General features: G+C 53.6%; 1 protein-coding gene and 1 long non-coding RNA gene across 25 annotated transcripts in view, besides 3 other annotated features; one reads left to right on the forward strand and one right to left on the reverse strand.

Moving 5' to 3' along the window:
• TMEM63B (transmembrane protein 63B) overlaps positions 1–17638 on the forward strand; it is a 28887-nt gene extending 11249 nt beyond the window's left edge. For 21 of the 22 annotated variants that reach the window (XM_017010999.2, XM_047418973.1, XM_047418970.1 and 18 more), the window contains 19 exons: positions 599–636; positions 1586–1728; positions 1827–1878; positions 2371–2479; positions 3147–3217; positions 8966–9046; positions 9496–9619; positions 10371–10504; positions 10632–10769; positions 10911–11064; positions 11978–12084; positions 12343–12429; positions 12683–12748; positions 13965–14127; positions 14712–14817; positions 15795–15962; positions 16192–16307; positions 16484–16564; positions 16811–17638. In XM_017010999.2, coding sequence (XP_016866488.1) covers positions 599–636; positions 1586–1728; positions 1827–1878; positions 2371–2479; positions 3147–3217; positions 8966–9046; positions 9496–9619; positions 10371–10504; positions 10632–10769; positions 10911–11064; positions 11978–12084; positions 12343–12429; positions 12683–12748; positions 13965–14127; positions 14712–14817; positions 15795–15962; positions 16192–16307; positions 16484–16564; positions 16811–17002 — 2130 coding nt within the window. In that variant the 3' untranslated portion in view covers positions 17003–17638. Of the gene's footprint in view, positions 1–598; positions 637–1585; positions 1729–1826; positions 1879–2370; positions 2480–3146; positions 3218–8965; positions 9047–9495; positions 9620–10370; positions 10505–10631; positions 10770–10910; positions 11065–11977; positions 12085–12342; positions 12430–12682; positions 12749–13964; positions 14128–14711; positions 14818–15794; positions 15963–16191; positions 16308–16483; positions 16565–16810 lie in introns of those variants that run through there. The other variant, XR_001743506.3, reaches the window with a different exon arrangement.
• Positions 3234–3403: an enhancer, noted in NCBI's record as "experimental_91852 CRE fragment used in MPRA reporter constructs". NCBI's record gives its function as "activates a minimal promoter by MPRAs in K562 erythroleukemia cells, with activity observed for the introgressed 6:44108937 variant allele {active_cell/tissue: K562}" and the evidence as "EXISTENCE:reporter gene assay evidence [ECO:0000049][PMID:34662402]".
• Positions 11289–11458: an enhancer, noted in NCBI's record as "experimental_91874 CRE fragment used in MPRA reporter constructs". NCBI's record gives its function as "activates a minimal promoter by MPRAs in K562 erythroleukemia cells, with activity observed for both the introgressed and non-introgressed 6:44116992 variant alleles {active_cell/tissue: K562}" and the evidence as "EXISTENCE:reporter gene assay evidence [ECO:0000049][PMID:34662402]".
• Positions 13973–14142: an enhancer, noted in NCBI's record as "experimental_91884 CRE fragment used in MPRA reporter constructs". NCBI's record gives its function as "activates a minimal promoter by MPRAs in K562 erythroleukemia cells, with activity observed for both the introgressed and non-introgressed 6:44119676 variant alleles {active_cell/tissue: K562}" and the evidence as "EXISTENCE:reporter gene assay evidence [ECO:0000049][PMID:34662402]".
• On the reverse strand, positions 15957–20722 carry LOC107986599 (uncharacterized). Of its 3 annotated transcripts, none has more exons than XR_002956350.2 (3): positions 20704–20722; positions 17320–17451; positions 15957–16096 (listed from the first exon to the last, which is right to left on the reverse strand). It is a non-coding gene; the product is annotated as an uncharacterized LOC107986599 (long non-coding RNA). The 3 variants fall into 3 exon arrangements; XR_002956349.2 differs by lacking the exon at positions 20704–20722 and adding an exon at positions 18077–18158; XR_007059592.1 differs by lacking the exon at positions 20704–20722 and adding an exon at positions 18106–18145.

The raw sequence follows: 20876 nt of genomic DNA on the forward strand, positions 1-20876 counted from the left end.
AAGAGACGGGGTGTCACCATGTTGGCCAGGCTGATCTCGAACTCCTGACCTCAGTTGATCCGCCCGCCTTGGCCTCCAAAAGTGCTGGGATTACAGGCGTGAGCCACCGCACCTGGCCGGAGGTGGGGAGATACCTTGCAGCTCATAGTGACCCTGGGCTTTTGTCCTTCTGGGGTAGACTAGAGGATAAATAGCTGGAATTCAGGCAGCAAGGCCCTCTTCTCTGCTTTTGGCAGCCATGTTGCAAACTTATTAGCCGGAGGTCTGGAGGTCCTGCTAACCTTAGAACCCCAAGCCCCACCCATCCCACCCTGGCCCACACAGCCACAGGGTATTTGCAGAAATCTGTAGATCTGGACATGGGGATTCACAGATAAACCTGTTTAGTGTTGGTCTTTTTTCTTTGAGGGCTGAGACCTTCCCTCTCTCTCTCCCTTTTTGGGTATAAGCTAGTTCTGAGGGTATAAGGATTTTTTTTTAGTGAGGGGTGTGGAAGCTATGCCTGGAGGTAATTATGAGAATGGGTGGGACTTGAGGGAGGAGAGAGGTTCGGGTTGGTGGGCTGGGGACTCCCGCTGACAGCCCTCTGTTCCCCCAGGGTTTCTGTTCCTGGCTGACAGCCATCTTCAGGATAAAGTAAGTGGACCATCTTCAAGCTCTAAAGAAAGAGAGAAACTTCAGAACCTGGCATCTCCCTACAAAATTCAGAAGCCAGCAGCTTTCAGGGCCTTAGCACTCCTCGCCAGCACAGCACCCTCCTCCCTGCTCTCAAAGGCCAAGCCTCGGGTGCCTGAGCCTCTGCTGTACCCTGAACACTCACTTGACCCCATAATCTCCTCTGTGACCCCCTGCCGGCCCCCCCGCTTCTCTCCCTGCCCTGCCCCACCTTGAGGGAGGGGGTGGAGCCCCTGCCTCAACCTCTGTGCAGCCAGTGAGTGGGGGCAGCAGTAGGCTGGGAGCAGCCAGCCAGCTGCAGGCAGAACTCAGGAGATCCAGCCAGAGTCCAGCAGGCAGGCAGTGAGCGCTGAGAAAGGCAGGAAGCCAGGACAGGTCAGCACTGCCGCCACCACTCCCCCAGGCCTCCCCCAAGGGTACCCGGGCTTCACTACGCCAGGCTCAGCCACACCCATGAGGTGCTGCTGCCCCTCCTCCCATCCTTCCTTCACTTCTGCCTCTTTCACCACTCCTCCTCCTGCTGGTCCTCCTCCTCTCTTGCCTTCCTCCCTCCTCAGATATTTCTCTTTTTTCTTCCCTTTTCTCTGCATTCCTCATTTTTCTTCTTCCCCTTCCTGTCTCTGCAGTCTCTTCTTTCTTTTACCTATCTTTTCCTTCTAGCCCTCTGCCTTCATCCCTCCCCTTCTCCATGCATTTCTCCTTTTTCTCCCTCCCCCTCTCTTCTCCCTTTCTCCCCTCTCCCTTCACAGAAAATAGGGGACCAAGAAGTCCCATTTCAGCCCTATACTACTGCCAGATCAGCTGGAGCTAGGGTGGGTTTGGGGTGGGAGTGGGTGAGGGCAGGCAAGTTGCAGCCCCCTTCTTGCCCTGGTCCTAACCTAATTCCTTTGTCCAACCCGTATGGCTGCAGGGATGATGAGATCCGGGACAAATGTGGGGGCGATGCCGTGCACTACCTGTCCTTTCAGCGGCACATCATCGGGCTGCTGGTGGTTGTGGGCGTCCTCTCCGTAGGCATCGTGCTGCCTGTCAACTTCTCAGGGGACCTGCTGGGTCAGTGAGGGCCAGGACGGCTAGGGTGGAGAGAGGATGGGGCTGGAGGGGATGTGCCCTGACCCCACCATCATCCTCTCCCTCTTCCCACCCCACAGAGAACAATGCCTACAGCTTTGGGAGAACCACCATTGCCAACTTGAAATCAGGGTAAGATGCGAAGCTGGTCGGCCAGGCCAAGGTCTACGACCAGAGTCTGGGCCATGATGTGGGACAGGGAGGAAAGGCAGCTGCGTTGATGGGAGCAGAGCCTACAGGGATGGCTATGGGTCCCTGAGGGCTTGGGTTGGAGACAGAAGAGGGAAATGCCTGCTGAGGATCCCCCAAGGATGAAGAGGATACAGAAGAGGAGGGTGAAATCTCAGGAACCAGGGAGGGCCAGCTGGGGCAGTTGGAGACACTGTAACCAGTGGGTAGGGCGTAGAAAGGTGACCTATCAGGGATATTTTCATTGGAATCGAAGAATTTTGGTGTCTAGGGGATGTGGGATGTGGGCCTGCCTTGCGAGGAGTCAGTGCCAGAAGGCTGGTGGCAGTAGAGGGCCCTGTCTGTATCAAGGGTTTAACACTGACAGGCTGAGGTGTCTCCTCTGAGTGTGTCCTAGCCCCAGTGGCTCCCATGTATCCTCTCTGCTTCTCCCAGGAACAACCTGCTATGGCTGCACACCTCCTTCGCCTTCCTGTATCTGCTGCTCACCGTCTACAGCATGCGTAGACACACCTCCAAGATGCGCTACAAGGAGGATGATCTGGTGCGTGGAGCAGAGCCCAGGTCCTGCCCCATCCCCAGCCTCTTCCCTTCCCTTCCCTGCAGGCCTCTTTTGTCTCAGCCCCAAGAGGTGTCAGCTAGGTTTGAATGCTGGCACAGCAGCTCAGGAGCTCCCATCCTGCAAGTTACATAACCTCCCAAGCCATGATTTTCTCATCTGTAAAATGGAATAACAACAGTACCTCCCCCAAGGTTGTGGGGAATACACAGAAACAGCCGTGCTGTGCCCAGCACTTGGGAAAATAGCAGTGGCTGATCCTAGGATAGTAATATTCCTTCCCCTTCTACATGCACTCACCAAGCCAGAACCGGACACCTACTCCATGCCAGCCACTGTGCTGGGTTCTCAGGGTCTAAGGAGCTGAAAGTAGTACCCCCTTCTGCCTCTATAACCCCTCAAGAGCATGGGACGGCGTGGCTCTTTTGTTAGGCTCACTGCCTGATTTCTGTTGGAAACACTCCCCTGCTTTCCCTGGGACCTGGCTTATCCATAACTAAGGCCTCCTCCCACCCCATCTGTTCCCCTCTGCTCACCTACTTCTCTACCCACTCAAAACAAAGCCTCTTTCTCTAGTGCCCCCCACCCCTCACATCCCCTGGCTCCACTGGGGTCAAGCCTCAGAAGGCAAACCCACTCCCCTGTCACCCAGGTGAAGCGGACCCTCTTCATCAATGGAATCTCCAAATATGCAGAGTCAGAAAAGATCAAGAAGCATTTTGAGTGAGTAAGCCACGCTTCCCCCTACCCTCAAGCCCTGCTGCAGAGCCTTCTCTGCCTTTGAACTCTAAGAACATCCTTATACCCTAGCCTGGAGCTCTGCCGTGGGTGGGATAGAGATTAGATCCAGGAAGAAATGTCCGATTCCAGGGTGGTTTAGCACTTGGGTCGGGTGATAGGCCCCTTTAAGAACAGGAAAAATAAGACAAAAACCTGAAGAGTGAGTCATTCAAACCCCCTAACCCCCAAACCTCCTCCTGGCTCAGACTGGGTCATAGGTTGTTGACCCAGGTCCATTGGAGTACATATCTTCTTCAAAATTAAAAGCAGCATTCTGGAGTTTGTGTGCAGCCATGACAGGGAGAAGCTCCTTGGTTTCCAGTGGATTCCAAGGAGTCCAGGAGAACTTGAACTGTGTATTCTCTGAGGCTTTTTCAGCTCTAGAATTATGTTTTGGGGTGGGTAGAGCAGACCTATGGCCAGAAACTAGAGAAAAGGGAGGTGGTATAATGAGGCAAAGAGGGAACTTACCTGGTCACCCCATGGCTAGGGATGCACCTTGGGGCGCAGCTCATAGGGTGGGGAATCAGTGAAGGGCCCCTCCATGGGGGTGTGTAGGGACAGTCTCTATACCACAGGATTAGGGCTACTCTCACACAGGCATCTGTTCACTCAGCAAACTTTCTCAAGTGCTGTTAGTCATAAGTTACTGTGGTGGGCTTTGGGACTGTAAAAAATGAATGAGGCCAGGCATGGTGGCTCATGGCTGTAATCCCAGCACTTTGGGAGGCCAAAGTGGGCAGATCACTTGAGCCCAGGAGTTGAAGACCAGCCTGGGCAACATAGCAAGACCCCATCTCTACCAAAAAATACAAACTTAGCCAGGTGTGGTGGCGTGCGCCTGTAGTCCCAGCTACTTGGGAGGCTGAGGTGGGAGGATCGCTTGAACCCAGGAGGTCGAGGCTGCAGTGAGTCCTGTGCACCACTGCACTCCAGCCTGGGTGACAGAGCAAGACCCTGTTTCAAATGTTTCAAAAAATAAAAAATAGAAGAGGCCAGGCACGGTGGCTCACGCCTGTAATCCCAACACTTTGGGAGGCCCAAGATGGGAGAATTACTTGAGGCCAGGAGTTCAAGACCAGCCTGGTCAGTATAATGAGACCCCATGTCTTAAAAAAAAAAAAAAAAAAAATCATTGAGGGCCGGGAGTTTGAGACCAGCCTGGCCAATATGGTGAAACCCCGTCTCTACTGGTGAAACCTTGTCTCTACTGAAAATACAAAAATTAGCCAGGCATGGTGGCGCGTACCAGTAGTCTCAGCTACTCAGGAGGCTGAGGCAGAAGAATCGCTTGAACCCAGGAGGCAGAGGTTGCAGTGAGCCGAGATTGTGCCACTGCACTTCAGCCTGAGCGGCAGAGCGAGACTGTCTCAAAAAAAGAAAAAAAAATCATTGAGTTCTCAGGGGGTTCATAGTATGGCAGTCGGCTTTAGGAGCTAGTCCAGGGTCTGATCAGAGATTGCTCTGAGGTCAGTCTGTGGTCAGAATCAGGAGCTGGCCAGTGGTCATGATAAAGGATGCTGGTGGTCTGGATCATGGCCCAGACTGAGGTTGAGATTTGGGCTCAGTCTACCATCAGAATCAGGGTTTAGGCCAGGTGTGGTGGCTCATGCCTGTAATCCCCTTGAGAAGATTGCTTGAGCCCGGGAGTTTAAGACCAGCCTGGACAACATGTCGAAACTCCATCTCTACAAAAAATATAAAAATTAGCCAGACATGGTAGCATGCACCAATAGTCCCAACTACTCAGGTGACTGAGGTGGGAGGATGGCTTGAGCCCAAGAGGCTAATGCTGTGGTGAACTGATTGCGCCACTGTACTCCAGCCTGGGTAATAGGGCAAGACCCTGTCTCAAAAAAGAAAGAAAGTAAAGAATCAAGGTTTAATCTGAGGTCCAGACCTGTCAGTTGGCCAGAATCAGAGTTCACTCATTGTCCTGGGTCAGGCCAGTGTGTGATCCAATCAGAGATAGTGTTTGGGCAGGATTGAGAGTGAACATCTATCTGGTCAGGGTCAGATTCCAGAGCCTGTGTTAGAAGATTAAGGACTGGTGTGTGATCAGCATTAGTAGATGGATACTCTTTCATACTACATGCAGTTATTGACAACCTTCTATGTGCCAGGCACAAATAAATTAGAAACAAGCCCAGCCCTTATACAGGCTATAAAACAGCAGTCAAAATTAGATCATTCTTGTCAGTATGAGAGAACTATTTGGGGTCCTATCTGAGGTTCAAGCTGTCATCAGCATTAAAGGGCACTCTGGGTCAGGATTAAGGACAGTGTGTACTCAGAATTAGTGACATCTTTTTTTTTTCTCATACCATCTTTTGTAACAATGAATTAGGTGACATCTTAATATTACCATCCAGTTGGAATCAGTTGTCAGCTTGTATTGAAATCTGGTGTTTGTTGTTTTTGTTTTTGTTTTTGTTTTTTGATACAAATATCTAGTGAGCACCTGCTATGTGCCTGCTTGGGGAGGAGCTGGGGGTATAGCAGTAAACGACAGAAGGCCTGCCCTCATTTGCTTTCATTTTAGTGGGGAGGGGTGGACAGGGACCGGATGAACTAGTAATAGAGACTGTGTCAAGAAGAGGTAGGTGCTAAGAAAACCACAGCAGGGAAGCAGGCAGGGTAAGAGGGGTTGGGAAGGGTTGCTATTTCTGATGGGATAGACAGGGAGGGACTCTGACAGCGTGGCATTTGAACAGAGACCTGAGTGAACCCTACTAGTCAACTGTCTATTCATTCAGCCCACATTTATTGTATACCTACTATGTGCTTCATGCCTGGGAGACAGAGTATAATCAGACCTGATCAGTGCCCTTGGGAAGCTGAAGATCCTAGTTGTGTTTCAGGGGTTGGTCTATAGTTTTGTTTAGGAGAGGTCAGCCTATAAGCAGGGGTAAGGGAGACTCTAGTCCTAATTGGAGTTTTTTGGATCACTGGGATGAGCATTATGGAGTAGCCATTTCATTGATCCGCTCATTTACCACATGTGTATTGAACACCTGCTATATACAAGCTGTTGGGACAGGGCTGGGTATATGGTGAGGACTAAGAGACAGCGCTTGAGCTCATTGTCAGGATTAGGCAGGGCTTGTGGTCCAAGTCTGCAGTCTGTCTGGATTGGAAGACTGTCTCAGCACAATTAGGAAATATCTTGCATGCAAATCAACGGGCCTGTGTGGTTGGATTTAGAGGATTAGAGATGAGTTTAGTGAGAATGAGAGCTCACCCTTCCAAAGGGGAAACCTCAAATGGTTTGAGGAACAATATCAGAGGAAAGGTCTCTAGCCTCCTGGGAAGTACATCTCAAGGACCCTATCCCAGATTTAAGTTTCTAAATTCTCATGGGTTTATGAGGACTATCTTAATACTTTAGAACAGTAACTCATGCATTCAATACTTGGTGGTCCTTCATTTAAAAAAAAAAACAATTTTTTTTGAGACAGAGTCTCACTCTGTCTCCCTGGCTGGAGTGCTGCAATACAGGGGCGTGGTCATAGCTCACTGCAGCCTTGACCTCCTGGGCTGAATCGATCCTCCTGCCTCAGACTCCCGAGTAGCTGGAACTACAGGCACTCACCACCACACCTGGCTAATTTTTTTTTCTTTTTTTAGAGACAGGGTCTCACTATGTTGCCCAGGCTGGTCATGAACTCCTGGCCTCAAGCAATCCTCCTGTCTCAGCCTCTCAAAGTTTTGGGATTACAGGCATGAGCCACTGTGTTCAACCTAAAAATTTTAATAAAATATAAAAAGATGGGGACTCAGTCTAGATTAAGGATTAGGATCAAAGAACAGTGCATGATCAGATTTAAAAACGAACTACTGGCCAGGTGCGGTGGCTCACACCTGTAATCCCAGCACTTTGGGGAGCCGAGGTGGGTGAATCACAAGGTCAGGAGTTCAGGACCAGCCTGGCCAAGATGGTGAAACCCCATCTCTACTAAAAACATAAAAATTAGCCAGGCGTGGTGGCATGTGCCTATAATCCCAGCTACTGGAGAGGCTGAGACAGGGGAATCACTTGAACCCAAGAGGTGGAGGTTACAGTGAGCTGAGATTGCACCACTGCACTCCAGCCTGGGCGACAGAGCAAGACTCCGCCTCAAAAAAAAAAAAAAAAAGCTATTAGGCTGGGTATGGCAGCTCATGCCTATAATCCCAGCACTTTGGGAAGCCAGGGCGGGCCAATCACCTGAGGTCAGGAGTTCGAGACCAGCCTGGCCAACATGTTGAAACCCTATCTCTACTAAAAATACAAAAAAAAAAAAAAAATTAGCCGGGTGTGGTGGCACACACCTGTAATCCCAGCTACTCAGAAGGCTGAAGCACGAGAATCACTTGAACCCGGGAAGCAAAGGTTGTAGTGAGCCCAGATCACACCACTGCATTCTAGCCCGGGTGACAGAGTGAGACTCCGTCTCAAAAACAAAACAAAACAAAAACAAAAACAAAAACGAAACAAAAAACAAAAAGAAACTATTCCCTCCAGCCATGGTGGCTCACTAGTGTAATGCCCACACTTTGGGAAGCTGAGGCAGGATGATCACTTGAACCCAGGAGTTCAAGACCAGCCTGGGCAATACAACAAGACCCCATCTCAGAATATTTGAAACAAACAAACAAACAAAAAAATGAACTATTCCTTCACTCAGCAAGCATTCTTCAAGCCTTGCCTGGTACCAGGTACTAGTGAGTCAGTGCCAGTTTCTCTCTGGTCAGTCTTAAGTCAAGGTAAGGATGAATCTGGGGTCAGGGTTAGGAGGTCAGTCTTGGGTCTGGGCAACAGGTCTGGGGTCAGTCTTTGGCCAGGGTGGGCTTAAGGGTCAGTCTTTGGCCAGGGTTACAGGTCAGTCTCACCCTGGTCAGGGGTCAGGATCAATCTCTTGTCTGTCTTGGGCCAAAGTTAGAGATCATTTTGTAGACTGGGTTATGGGTTGGTTGAGGTCAGTCTGTGGTCAAGGCTAAGTGTTGGGCTGTGACCAGGTCTTCTGGGAACAGGGTTAAGGAATTATATAGCCTATGACTAGATGCAATTTTTTTCAACCTAAAGGTCACAGCCCTGGACAGGAATCAGACCATAGCCCTGGCTTCCCTACCTGCATGCAGTATGTCCCTACACATCCTGGTTTGTTAGCCCAGCCTGCAGTCACACAGTGCTCAGGCCTTCTGCTCCCACTTCCCCACTCAGATAAGCATGAGGAGGAACTCCAAAGCTTTATTCTTGGGGAACTCTCAGTTTTGTAGACTAAGAAAAAGGCAGCTTGAATTGGAGATGTGGGTTTTTTTGTCTTTTTTTTTGAGATGGAGTCTCGCTCTGTCGCCCAGTCTGGAGTGCAGTGGCGCGATCTTGGCTCACTGCAACCTCCACCTCCCGGGTTCGAGCAATTCTTCTGCCTCAGCCTCCTGAGTAGCTGGGACTACAGGCACGTGCCACCATGCCCAGCTAATTTTTGTATTTTTAGTAGAGACAGGGTTTCACCATGTTGGCCAGGCTGGTTTCGAACTCCTGACCTCAGGTGATCCTCCCGCTTCGGCCCCCCAAAGTGCTGGGATTACAGATGTGAGCCACCACGTCCAGCCAGAGATGTGTTTCTTGAAGGTGATGGGGTCATGGATGAAAGTCAGGGGCAGGTGGGTGGGGTCCCTGCACAAGATGATACATGAACTGTGTTTCAGGGAAGCCTACCCCAACTGCACAGTTCTCGAAGCCCGCCCGTGTTACAACGTGGCTCGCCTAATGTTCCTCGATGCAGAGAGGTAAGGGACTGGGGGCAGAGGAGGGTGACACCAAGGGCCCCCTGCCATTGTGGAGGACATCTTGGCTACCACACAGGCTCCCCTTCTAGATTTTTTCCTAGGGCATTTGATTTTAATTCAACTCGTTGGTGTGCCTGTTAATTCAGCTCTGGAAAGAGCAAGGCCTGGAGGTTAGAGTTTGTTGTGAGGGGAAGGGGGGCCCATGGTCCCCACTGCATCTGAGGACATGCCCTTCTTTGGCTACAGTATGAGAAATTTAGGTCAGCCTGCAGGAAGAACTTCTGGCCCTCTAGGGATGGGTGGGGAGACCTTGGGATGTGGCCACATCTGAAACATGTATCCTAAACAAGAACAAGACAGCTCCTGTCCTTGGGGAGTGAGCTAGATGACCCCCAAGCTGAGCCAGCCCCAGCCCCAGATGTAGGTGACCAGGCATCTGGGTCCCACAGGAAGAAGGCCGAGCGGGGAAAGCTGTACTTCACAAACCTCCAGAGCAAGGAGAACGTGCCTACCATGATCAACCCCAAGCCCTGTGGCCACCTCTGCTGCTGTGTGGTGCGAGGCTGTGAGCAGGTATGACGCGGGCTGGCTGTTGAGTCGGGAGAAGTTGGACAGGTCCTGGGCAGGCAAGGCTGGGGCCCTGCCCTCAGTGAGTCCCCACCTGTCCCTGGAATCCTTGAAGCCTCAGTTCCCACTGTTGGGTTTGTCTAATGTCCCTACAGTGACCAGGTTTTCAAACCTCAAATTAGAAAATGTCAGCCAAAAGGACAATGTTGTGCTGTACCCACTGACTCTGGGGACTTGAGCAAGTTGCTTACTGCTCAGTGCCTCAGTTTCCTCATGGGGTTAACGTACCCACCTTATGAGAGTGTTGTGAGGGTAAAGTGAGTAATACATATAAAGAAGCTTAGAGGTGCTGGGTGCGGTGGCATATGCCTGTAATCCCAGCACTTTGTGAGGCTGAAGCAGGTGGATCACTTGAGCCAGGAGTTTGAGACCAGCCTGGGAAACATGGCAAAACCTGATCTCTACAAAAAATACAAAAATTAGCCAGGCATGGTACTGCACACATGTATTCCCAGCCACTTGGGAGGCTGAGGTGGGAGGGTCACTTTAGCCTGGGAGCTTGAGGCTCCAGTGAGCTGAGATTCCACCACTACACTCCAGCCTGGGCATCAGAGCGAGACGCTGTTTCCAAAAAAAAAAAAATGCTTAGAGGAGCAGTGCCTGGCTTGTAGGAAGCCCCAAGTCAGCGTGGGCTGGATGCTGCAGGCCCCAGCCTGGCTTTCCAACTAGAGGCCCTGTCCCTAACCCTCCCACAAAGGTGGAGGCCATTGAGTACTACACAAAGCTGGAGCAGAAGCTGAAGGAAGACTACAAGCGGGAGAAGGAGAAGGTGAATGAGAAGCCTCTTGGCATGGCCTTTGTCACCTTCCACAATGAGACTATCACCGCCATGTGAGTCCCCAACTCGGCCCTCGGCCCTGAGCAGCCCTCCAGGGCTCCCTGACCCCTGTGCTCATGGCCTTCTGCCAGCAGTGTGGCCTCCAGGTGGGCCTGTGGTAACCAGTGCCCATCTTTCTAGCATCCTGAAGGACTTCAACGTGTGTAAATGCCAGGGCTGCACCTGCCGTGGGGAGCCACGCCCCTCATCCTGCAGCGAGTCCCTGCACATCTCCAACTGGACCGTGTCCTATGCCCCTGACCCTCAGAACATCTACTGGTGAGCAAACAGGTGTCAGGGCAGGCTTTCCAGGGCCTGGGATGGGCTCAGTAGGTAGGCGGAGGAGAGGGAGTGTCTTGGTGTCACTGGGGGCCAATCCTGCCCTTGGTTCCTGGACTGACCGGTTCCCCACCTTGCCAGGGAGCACCTCTCCATCCGAGGCTTCATCTGGTGGCTGCGCTGCCTGGTCATCAATGTCGTCCTCTTCATCCTCCTCTTCTTCCTCACCACTCCAGCCATCATCATCACCACCATGGACAAGTTCAACGTCACCAAGCCTGTGGAGTACCTCAACGTGAGGCCTCATGCCCCTGTCACTTTCCACGCTGGGTCACAACACACAGATACCAGGCCCTGATCCCTCTTCCACTTGCCCAGCCCAGCCCGTTCTGCTTGTTCCAACCCCGTGCCACCAACCAGCTCCCAAAAACCCCTGTGTGCACTTCCCTTGGGCTCCCTGCCACCTTCCCCCTGAGAGAGGCCACCCTCAGGTGTGCAACACCTGGAGAAACACCCAGGGAAGAGAGAGAGCCTGCATTTAGTCCTGATCTCAGAGAAGTCCCCTTCCCTCACCCCTCAGTCTAACTGAAAAAATGGAAAGGTTCAACTAGATCAGTGGCTTTGGACTTGGATTCTGATCTCTTTATCGGTGTGAAACCCAGTGTGGAAAAGCAGGGCTGCTCCGATGACAGTAGGGTGGCATGCATGTCTGCCTGGCCTCCCCTCACCTCTCCTCCCACGCATAGAGCATACCTCTTTAGAACCTCAGAGTTTGAAGAAGGACAGTTTGCAAATCACTTGGAGTGATAATACCATAATAGATAAGACCCAGACTGCATGGATTCAAATCCCTACCTCATGGCTTGCTAGCTAGGGAAGCTATTGAATCTTTTTTTTGCCTCAGTTTACTCATCTGTCAAATGGGGTAACAGCATTATTGTGAGGATTAAGACATGGCAAGTACATCAGCACTGCTTAGAACATAGTAGATGTTCAGCAAATGCTGACTATCAGTATTATCCACCCTGGGGTTATACATATGGCCCTGGCCCCCACCCTCACCCCAGCCCTCCGGATGTTCTGGGCTTCCAACATGGGAGCCCTGAGAGTTGTGAGGCCAAGGGCCCAGCTGGGGAGGAGGCACATAAGCAAAGCCACCTGGGCCCCCTAGACTGCCCTGCCTGACGCCCCCCTGTGCCCTGCTGCAGAACCCCATCATCACCCAGTTCTTCCCCACCCTGCTGCTGTGGTGCTTCTCGGCCCTCCTTCCCACCATCGTCTACTACTCAGCCTTCTTTGAAGCCCACTGGACACGGTAAGGTGCCTCCACTCACACCACACCTCGCTGTGGCCTGCCCTCAATGACCCATCCTCTCTGGGCAGCACTTTGCCCTTCAGGCTCCTGGCCCTGGGCAGTCCCACAGCTGGTAGGGAAGGGGTAGTGCCCAGCACCCTCACCTTGGGAGGCCCACCCTTCCCAGGGGACACTCCTTGGACATTGTCCTTGTTGGGGGAGCAAGTCTGGGGCCTGGGCTCACTTGACCTGTACCGTTCCCTGCTCCCCTCCCTCCAGCTCTGGGGAGAACAGGACAACCATGCACAAGTGCTACACTTTCCTCATCTTCATGGTGCTGCTCCTACCCTCGCTGGGACTGAGCAGGTGAGTTGAGAAGGATGGGGCAGGAGCCAGGGTAGGGGGACAGCAGGATAGGGAGAGGAGAGCAGTTCAGCCTCCCTACCTCCCCTACAAAGCAAGGGGCCCAAGATGGGAAGCCTGGCCACCCCCAGGCCTCCTGAGCTACCCACCCCATGTCTGGGAGTCTCCCCAGTGGCTCACAGAGGAGGGACTTCCCCTCCCCTGGTGTTCTGTACCACTCCAGCTCCCACCCCATCTCTCCTCTGCTTCCCTCCAGCCTGGACCTCTTCTTCCGCTGGCTCTTTGATAAGAAATTCTTGGCTGAGGCAGCTATTCGGTTTGAGTGAGTGACTGGGGCCCCTAGGGAAAGAGACCAGACAGCAGGGGTGGGTATGCTTGAGAGACATTGCCAGCCCCATGGGAGGGTGCAACAAAGCTTCCAACTCCTGGAGGGGGCAGAAGAGAGAGGATCTGGCGGGGTTACCCCAAAGGCACCCACAAGGTGTCTTGGGTGTGTATACATGGTAGAAGTCCCTGGGGTCTGTGTTGGTGTTCACTCTCTGGTAACCTGTTTGGATGCTAAGATCATCCTCAAGGTATATTTGGGGCTTGGGGCTCCACATTCTGGTAGTTTCTATGGGGGTGTCTTGTGCCCATATTCTGGGACTAACTGTGGGCGTCTCTGGAGTTCCACTTGGGAGGTTTGGGGAACCATCTCTAGGGAGGTCTTGGTGATACTTAGGGAGTGTCTTGGAGGCTACTAGGGGTATCCCTGAAGGTCTCTAGAGCCCATATTTTTGGGTATGTGTAGGAGGCTCTTGACCTTATAACTCTGGGGGTGTCTGTGGGCGGGGAGGCTAAAGGACTCACACTTTGGGATGTTTAGCAGTACAAGTTCTGGGAACATCTCTAAAATTTCAGGCTTTTATTCAGAGATGTAACTGTGGAGTTCTGTATGGGCATCTTCTCTGGGAATCATGTGAGGATATATTGAAGGTCATGCACCATGGCTGTGGGCACAAACTCTAGGGGTTTTGCTGTAGGCCATCTGTGGTGATCTTTGAGTCACACTTGGGGCATCTCAGGCACTGATAAAGGTTCCTGGGCTCCCCCAGAGATGTTGCGGGAAGGGTCTCAAAGCTTGTTTGTGGAGGTATCTGAGGCTCATGTCACACTCTGGGGGTAACTCGAGTTATGGTCTAAGTGGGGGAATCTTCTGGGTGTTCCTGGGGCTGTCAGCCTTTGGGTTCTTTGAGGGTCTCATTGGGTTGTCTTTGGGGGTCCTGGACAGTTCTCCCCTGAACATTCTAGCAGCCTTAGGTGGTCTTGAGCACTCTCTCCATGGGTCTTTATGGGGCACAAGTTCTTGGAGCTGTCTGTTGCCACTCTGTATGTCTCTGGGGGGAACAGGGCACAGGTGCTTGGGGCGCTAAGCTGGGGGTGTCCACATGGAAGAAGCATGTTGGTGGTGGAGGTGTTGGGTGCTGTAGTTCTGGCAGTGGGCGGGCGGCCACCGGGTCACCCCAAGGGTGCAGTGCTGGAGCACCTGGTGCCCGCAGGTGTGTGTTCCTGCCCGACAACGGCGCCTTCTTCGTGAACTACGTCATTGCCTCAGCCTTTATCGGCAACGCCATGGACCTGCTGCGCATCCCAGGCCTGCTCATGTACATGATCCGGCTCTGCCTGGCGCGCTCGGCCGCCGAGAGGCGCAACGTGAAGCGGGTACGGCCGCCTGGGGCAGCAGCGGCCCGCACAGCGCCCCCTGGTGGCCCAACAAGAAACAGCAGCCATCGCGCTAGGGTTGAGGGGCACAGGAGGGCTGAGACTTGGGGAGTACAGTTGACTCACGGTGGATCCGGGCCATCCCCTTCCCATATCTGGGGCCTTCGTATTCTGCCATGGGTGGACATAGGTAACCCTGAAGGCCCCTGCCAGTTCTGACAGTAGCATTCTATGATGGGAGTTGGGGAGATCTGGGTCCCTAGCGCTAGGGTCCCTCTGTCTTAATAAGAGGGCTCTGGGCATCCCACTCTCAAGTCCACCCAACTCTTGCCCCCTACCTGCCAGGCCCCGACCCTTGAAGGCCCCTCTCCGTGCCCCATCACTGCAACCGCCCTGACCCTCCTCTCGGCCATAGCCCCTCTCTCCATCTGCTCTGCCCTACCCTACCCTAGACATTAGGTCCTGTTCCCCATGGCTTCTTTTCCGGCCCCAGAGGTCCTGGCTCCCTTCCCCCTCCCTCCTTCCCTGCCCCTCTGGTCAGTCCCTGCCTCCCTGAGCCATCCTCCTGCCCGTCTCCCCCCCAGCATCAGGCCTACGAGTTCCAGTTTGGCGCAGCCTACGCCTGGATGATGTGCGTCTTCACGGTGGTCATGACCTACAGTATCACCTGCCCCATCATCGTGCCCTTCGGTAGGCACCGCCGCGCCGGGACCTGGGCCCTGCTCGGGGGGACCCAGGACTTCACCCTCTCCACTCTAGGAATGCAGGCCACCCCGAGTGGACAGGGCCCGGCTGGGAGACCGGCCCCTCGGGGCTCCCGCCCGGTCCCTGGCTCAGTCTGGGGCCTGGCCTGTGGGGAGGAGGGGGAGAGCCATCAGCTCAGGCCAGACCCAGCTGGCATGTGGGCCCCAGGGCAAAGTCACACCAACATGGCCATACTTACCCACACCTGTGCCTTCCCTCAGCGGGATGTGCTTGGACACAGATCACATACGTGCTGACATGTTCACACACACACTCCCACACAGGCATCCATGTGCACACTTTTACACCACCCTGTAAACTCAGGAAAGACTTGGATTCCAGGGTGGGATGGGTCCTTGCCACTCATGGAGATAGTCTGCTGTATCTGAGCTATGTGACTTGGCCAGGTCTCTCTTCCTTTTTGAAGTTTAGCAAAGTTTCTCTTTAACCATCACCCCCACTGGTAGCCTCTACTTTCCTCCCTAATAACATCCTAACTCCTTAACCAACCCTCCCTGGTTATTGAAGGCTCCAAGTTCCCAAACTAACTTCCTTGTCCTCATTAGAAACTCCCTATCCCTCAGCCTCTGGGGAAATAGAACTTGTCCCTTAATTTATACGTATCTGTTTAGGGACAGGGTTAGAGAAAAATGATACGGGTTTTAAGAAGATGCTTGTTGATTCAAATGACTAGATTTCCAATAGTAGAATTCCTGATGAGGAGAGTAGAATGAGGGGTTGTAGCGGAGGAAGCTGAAGTTCTGTGATCACGCTGGGGCACGGGGCACTATCCCGTCCTGGGGCCCGGGCAGGAGGAGGGGGCCAACCCTTCAGCACTCTCAGGACCAGAACAACCTGTGACAGACACACAAAAGGTTCGGCAGCACTGGTTCCGAGGTCAGGGCCCATGTGGCTTCCCTTAGGGCTCATGTACATGCTGCTGAAGCACCTGGTAGACAGGTACAATCTCTACTACGCCTACCTGCCGGCCAAGCTGGACAAGAAGATCCACTCGGGGGCTGTGAACCAGGTGGTGGCCGCGCCCATCCTCTGCCTCTTCTGGCTGCTCTTCTTTTCCACCATGCGCACGGGTGAGGGATCCCTACCCAGGGAACGGGGGGTGGCGAGCAGAGTGGATTCCAGCCAGAGCAGGCCACAGGAGAAGCCGCATGGCTGGGGGTGGCAGGCAAGGGGCCTGGGAGAGGCTGGGGCCAGTCTGTAGCACCTGGGAGAGTGAGGACTGCATTCAGAGGGTATCAGAAGCTGGGGTGGGGAGGCCCACAGGAGATAGCAACCCCATTCTTTGCCCCCCAACACCAGGGTTCCTAGCTCCCACGTCTATGTTCACATTTGTGGTCCTGGTCATCACCATCGTCATCTGTCTCTGCCACGTCTGCTTTGGACACTTCAAATACCTCAGTGCCCACAACTACAAGGTGTGGGGCAAGGGTGGCAGGCGGATGGCTGCGGGCAGGAGCTCAAGGGGAGGAATGCAGAGGGCCACAGGGCTGGCGAGGGCTGAGGGCAGCGCCAACAGGGCCAAGCGGGCGTGGGGTCATGATCAGGGCTGAGGACATGCCCCCACTTCCTGACTCATTCTGGGCCCCTCAAGATTGAGCACACGGAGACAGATACTGTGGACCCCAGAAGCAATGGACGGCCCCCCACTGCTGCTGCTGTCCCCAAATCTGCGGTGAGTGCCCTCAAGGGTTGGGAGGGGCCTCTGACAGACTCAGCCTCAAAGCCCAGTGTTCCCTTAGTCCTGCAGAAAGGGGAACCTGTGCCAGACCCCATGGGGGCGGGAAGAGAGCTGGTCTCCCTGGAGGGCTGCCCCCGCCCCCCAGGGCCCTGCCCACTCTGCTGTCCTACATGCCCTGGTGTTCCCGCAATCCATGAGGGGCAGCTGTTCACCTTGCCCCCATTTCCTCTCCTCCTTCAGAAATACATCGCTCAGGTGCTGCAGGACTCAGAGGTGGACGGGGATGGGGATGGGGCTCCTGGGAGCTCAGGGGATGAGCCCCCATCATCCTCATCCCAAGATGAGGAGTTGCTGATGCCACCCGACGCCCTCACGGACACAGACTTCCAGTCTTGCGAGGACAGCCTCATAGAGAATGAGATTCACCAGTAAGGGGAGGGAGGGGCCCTGGAGGCCACATCCTGCCCCACCCCACCCCCACTCCCACGGACACTAAAACGCTAATAATTTATTAGATCTAAAGCCCCTTCCTCCCCAGCCCCTGCTTTCATTAAGGTATTTAAACTTGGGGGTTTCACTGCTCTCCCCCATGATGGAGGGAGGGAGCCCCCCAACCTCAGTGAGGAGAGCCCCGAGCCGGCCCCGGGGCAAAGAGGGGTGCAGAGGGAGTTCCCCCAGATCAGTACCCCCCACCCCTCCCCAGCTAGTAGCATGACCAGGAGAGGGTTAATGAGAGCCAAGAGGAGTACCTGGTGCACCTGGTGCCGGTGGCTGGAGACCTGGGGGGCAGGTGGATCTGGGGCTGTTCCCCCCCCTCCGTTTTTTCCACCCCACAGTTCCTCCTGGGATCTGGCCCTCCAGGGAAGTGGAGCCTCCAGCCCCTAGGGGATGCATGAGGGGGGAGGGGGTGCTGAGTGGGAGGAAGAGTCAGGCTCACAGCTGGGGTGGCCTGGGGGTGGGGGTGGGCAAGGCTGACACTGGAAAATGGGTTTTTGCACTGTTTTTTTTTTGGTTTTTTTGTTCTTTTTTGTTTTTTTCCTTTAAAATAAAAACAAAGAAAAGCTCTGAGGCAGGTGTCTGACTTGTGCTGCCCTGGGCACCTGGGCCGGGTCCCCACCCTCCTATCTGGAGGGCCTCTTTGAGGTCCCTGCATGACGCTGGGCAAGGGACTTGTTCAGAGTCTCATTTCTGTGTCACTGAGAGGAGAGAGTGGGGCTGGGGAGAGACTTAAGGGATATCTCAGAGGCAGGAAGGGCCCCTGTGCCCAGGTGGCCACCATACCAGCCTCGCCCACTCTGATCATTCCCCTGAGTCCCTGAGCAACACACATGGGACAGAGATTCAGGGAGAAAAGGTCGTGCAAAGCCACAGGGTCCATGCTGGGCCAGGACGAAGGCCCTTCTGAGCACCTCAAAGTAAGCCTGGCGCCAGCCCATCTGTCCCTTCCCCAGGAGGGCCTGATCTCCTCAATGAGAAGCCCCCTCCCACCCTCCAGTCAAATCTTACCCATTCTCCAAGACCCAGCTCAAATTCACCTTCTCGCCAGGCGCGGTGGCTCACGCCTGTAATCCCAGTACTTTGGGAGGCCAAGGTGGGTGGATCACTTGAGTTCAGGAGTTCGAGACCAGCCTGGCCAACATGATGAAACCCCATCTCTACAAAAAATACAGAAATTAGCTGGGCATGGTGGTGCACCCCTGTAATCCCAGCTACTTGGGAGGCTGAGGCATGAGAATCACTTGAACCTGGGAGGTGGAGGCTGCAGTGAGCTGAGATCATGCCACTGCACTCCAGCCTGGGCGACAGGGCAAGACCCTGTCTCAAAAAAAAACAAAAAAAAATCACCTCGAAAAAAGGTCCTGTGACTGCTGTAGCCCACCCTGCAAAGGCCCACAGAGCCATGTGGTGCACACCCACACACATGCACACACAGCATGTACTGCATGTACTGTAGGAGGCCTGCATTCCAGTCCTTATTCTGTCACTAAATCACTTTGCAACCCTGAAGAAAAGGAAGAAAAAGGAACTCTTAGAGGGAAGAAAAGAGACCTCAGAGGAGGAGGAGAACCAGGTTCCACAAAAGTCAACAGGAACCACCAACAGCAGGAACAGCAAACACAGCAAGCCTGATAAAGATTGCCCAGGCGCCAGCAAGGAGCAGGAGCAAAGAGCGCCCAAGGTCCAGCCCCAGGCTGCAGGGAGCTGCGGCAAACACAGCTTGGAGGGTCAGTGTTTATGGGCGGGCTGTGGGTGGAGGATGGGCCAGTGACAGTGGAGGTGAAAGTTGAGGCCTTGGTCCTGGCCTCAGCCTGCATATGTATGTCAGATCTGCAGTTGTGAAACATGAGCTCCCAGGTAGAGTCCCCAAAGTCTTGGGGCCAAGGGAGTGCCTGCTGGTGGTTGGACAAATATTGGCATGGCTTTGAAAGGAGCACCTTGGTTGTGTGAAGGCTTCTCGGTGCTCCCGAAGCCTGTTTTCCGTATGGATGGGCAGGCACACCACCGCCATTTGCCTGGCAAGCCCCCTTGTCTGCAAAGCATGGCCTGGACAGACCTCAGCCCCCACCTCTGGTTAGCCGAGACCCTCTCATTCCTCATCTGCCCAGCATGCCTTCCCTTTCCTGCAGGGCCTGAAGTTCAAAGCCAGGTTCCAGCATTTCCAAATGTGAAACTCCAGATAATGCCCAAGCAGCACACTGAGCAAGAGTCCTGAGGACAGCCCTCCCCCAGGGTGGGAGGCTGTAATAGAGAGGAACACCCGTGCCTGCCTGCACCCTACCCCTGGCACCTCGTCACAGAGTTCATGTCCAGGCAGATCACATTAGAGGCATCCAAGAGGTGCAATAGTGGAATCAGGAGTGGGCAGGGGAGACCACAGGATCCCCAAAGACCACTTCCTCCTTTCACAGCTGGGGGCAGCAGAAGATACGGATAAGAGCTAAAGTTATGGCCGGGCACGGTGGCTTATGCCTATAATCCTAGCGCTTTGGGAGGCCGAAGCGAGTGATCACCTGAGGTCAGGAGTTCGAGACCAGCCTGCCCAACATGGCGAAACCCCGTCTCTACTAAAAATACAAAAATTAGCTGGGCATGGTGGTGGGCACCTGTAATCCCAGCTACTTGAGAGGCTGAGGCAGGAGAATCGCTTGAACCCGGGGGGCAGAGGTTGCAGTGAGCTGAGATTGCACCACTTCACTCCAGCCTGGGCAAAAGAGCGAGACTCCATCTCAAAAAAAAAAAAAAAAAAAAAAATCTGAAGTTATTAGTTTAAATCCTGGCTCGACCGCTTAACAGCTGTGTGACCCTGGGCAAGTTGCATCATACCTCTAGACCTCACTTTCCTCATCTATAAAATGGGAATAGCAATGTCATGGCCTCTGGCTGTTTTAAGGATTAAATAAGTAGGAAGTTCTTAGCCCAGTGTTTGGCACATAATAACAAACCATAATTAATATTCTCGTAGATGAGGAGATTGAGTCCCAGAAAGGAGAAAGGGGGAGGGCTCGCCCAAGGTCAGCTCCTGTTTCAGAGCTTGGAACAAGGTTCTCTGATCCCATTGGGTGCTCTCACACCTGTTCTGTGCCTGATTAGCACCAGGCAGGGCTGAGGGGCACTGGGATGACCTTGACAGTCCCTGTCCTCAGCCATCATACACTCCAGAGAAGACTGCACTCTGGAGCAGAGTTCTTAGCTCAAAGCATTCCCACTTTCCAGTGCAGAGGCAGGACATGTGGTCAGACCAGTGGCCTAACCTTGCCAGACTGGGGCTAGGCAAGGAGAGTGTTGCAGGTGGAATCGTGTCCCCCAAAAAGGCATGTTGAAGTCCTGGCCCCCAGTACTTCAGAATGTGACCTCATTTGGAAACAGGGTGGTTGCAGATGTAATTCGTTCAATTAAGATGAGGTCATACTGAAATGCATGGGACCCTAGCCCCATATGACTGGTGTCCTTATAAGAAGAAGAGACACAGAGGAGGGTGCCATGTGAAGACAGCAACACAGGAAAAATGCCATGTCAGTGAGAAAGGGGCTTTTGGGAATGAGAAGGCTTTCTGGATGTAAAGGTCAGGTTGGTGTGTCAGGGACAACCCCTTCCTGGAAACCTTGGGCTGAAAAAAAGGGACTGGGACCTACCCTGATGGGATGACCGTGATACAGTGAGGACAGCCAGGCTGGTGGAGGCTGTGCAAGGCAGGGGTGCTGGGTCATCTGTCCCTAAAGCGGGTAGCCCTCAGCTGGGTAAGGGGCTGGGTTACTGAGAAGGAGAAAAGGGAAGGCAGCTGTTAAACCGGCTGCTGACCTAGGAA

Source organism: Homo sapiens, chromosome 6 (assembly GCF_000001405.40).
Source record: "Homo sapiens chromosome 6, GRCh38.p14 Primary Assembly".
Taxonomy (NCBI): domain Eukaryota; kingdom Metazoa; phylum Chordata; class Mammalia; order Primates; family Hominidae; genus Homo; species Homo sapiens.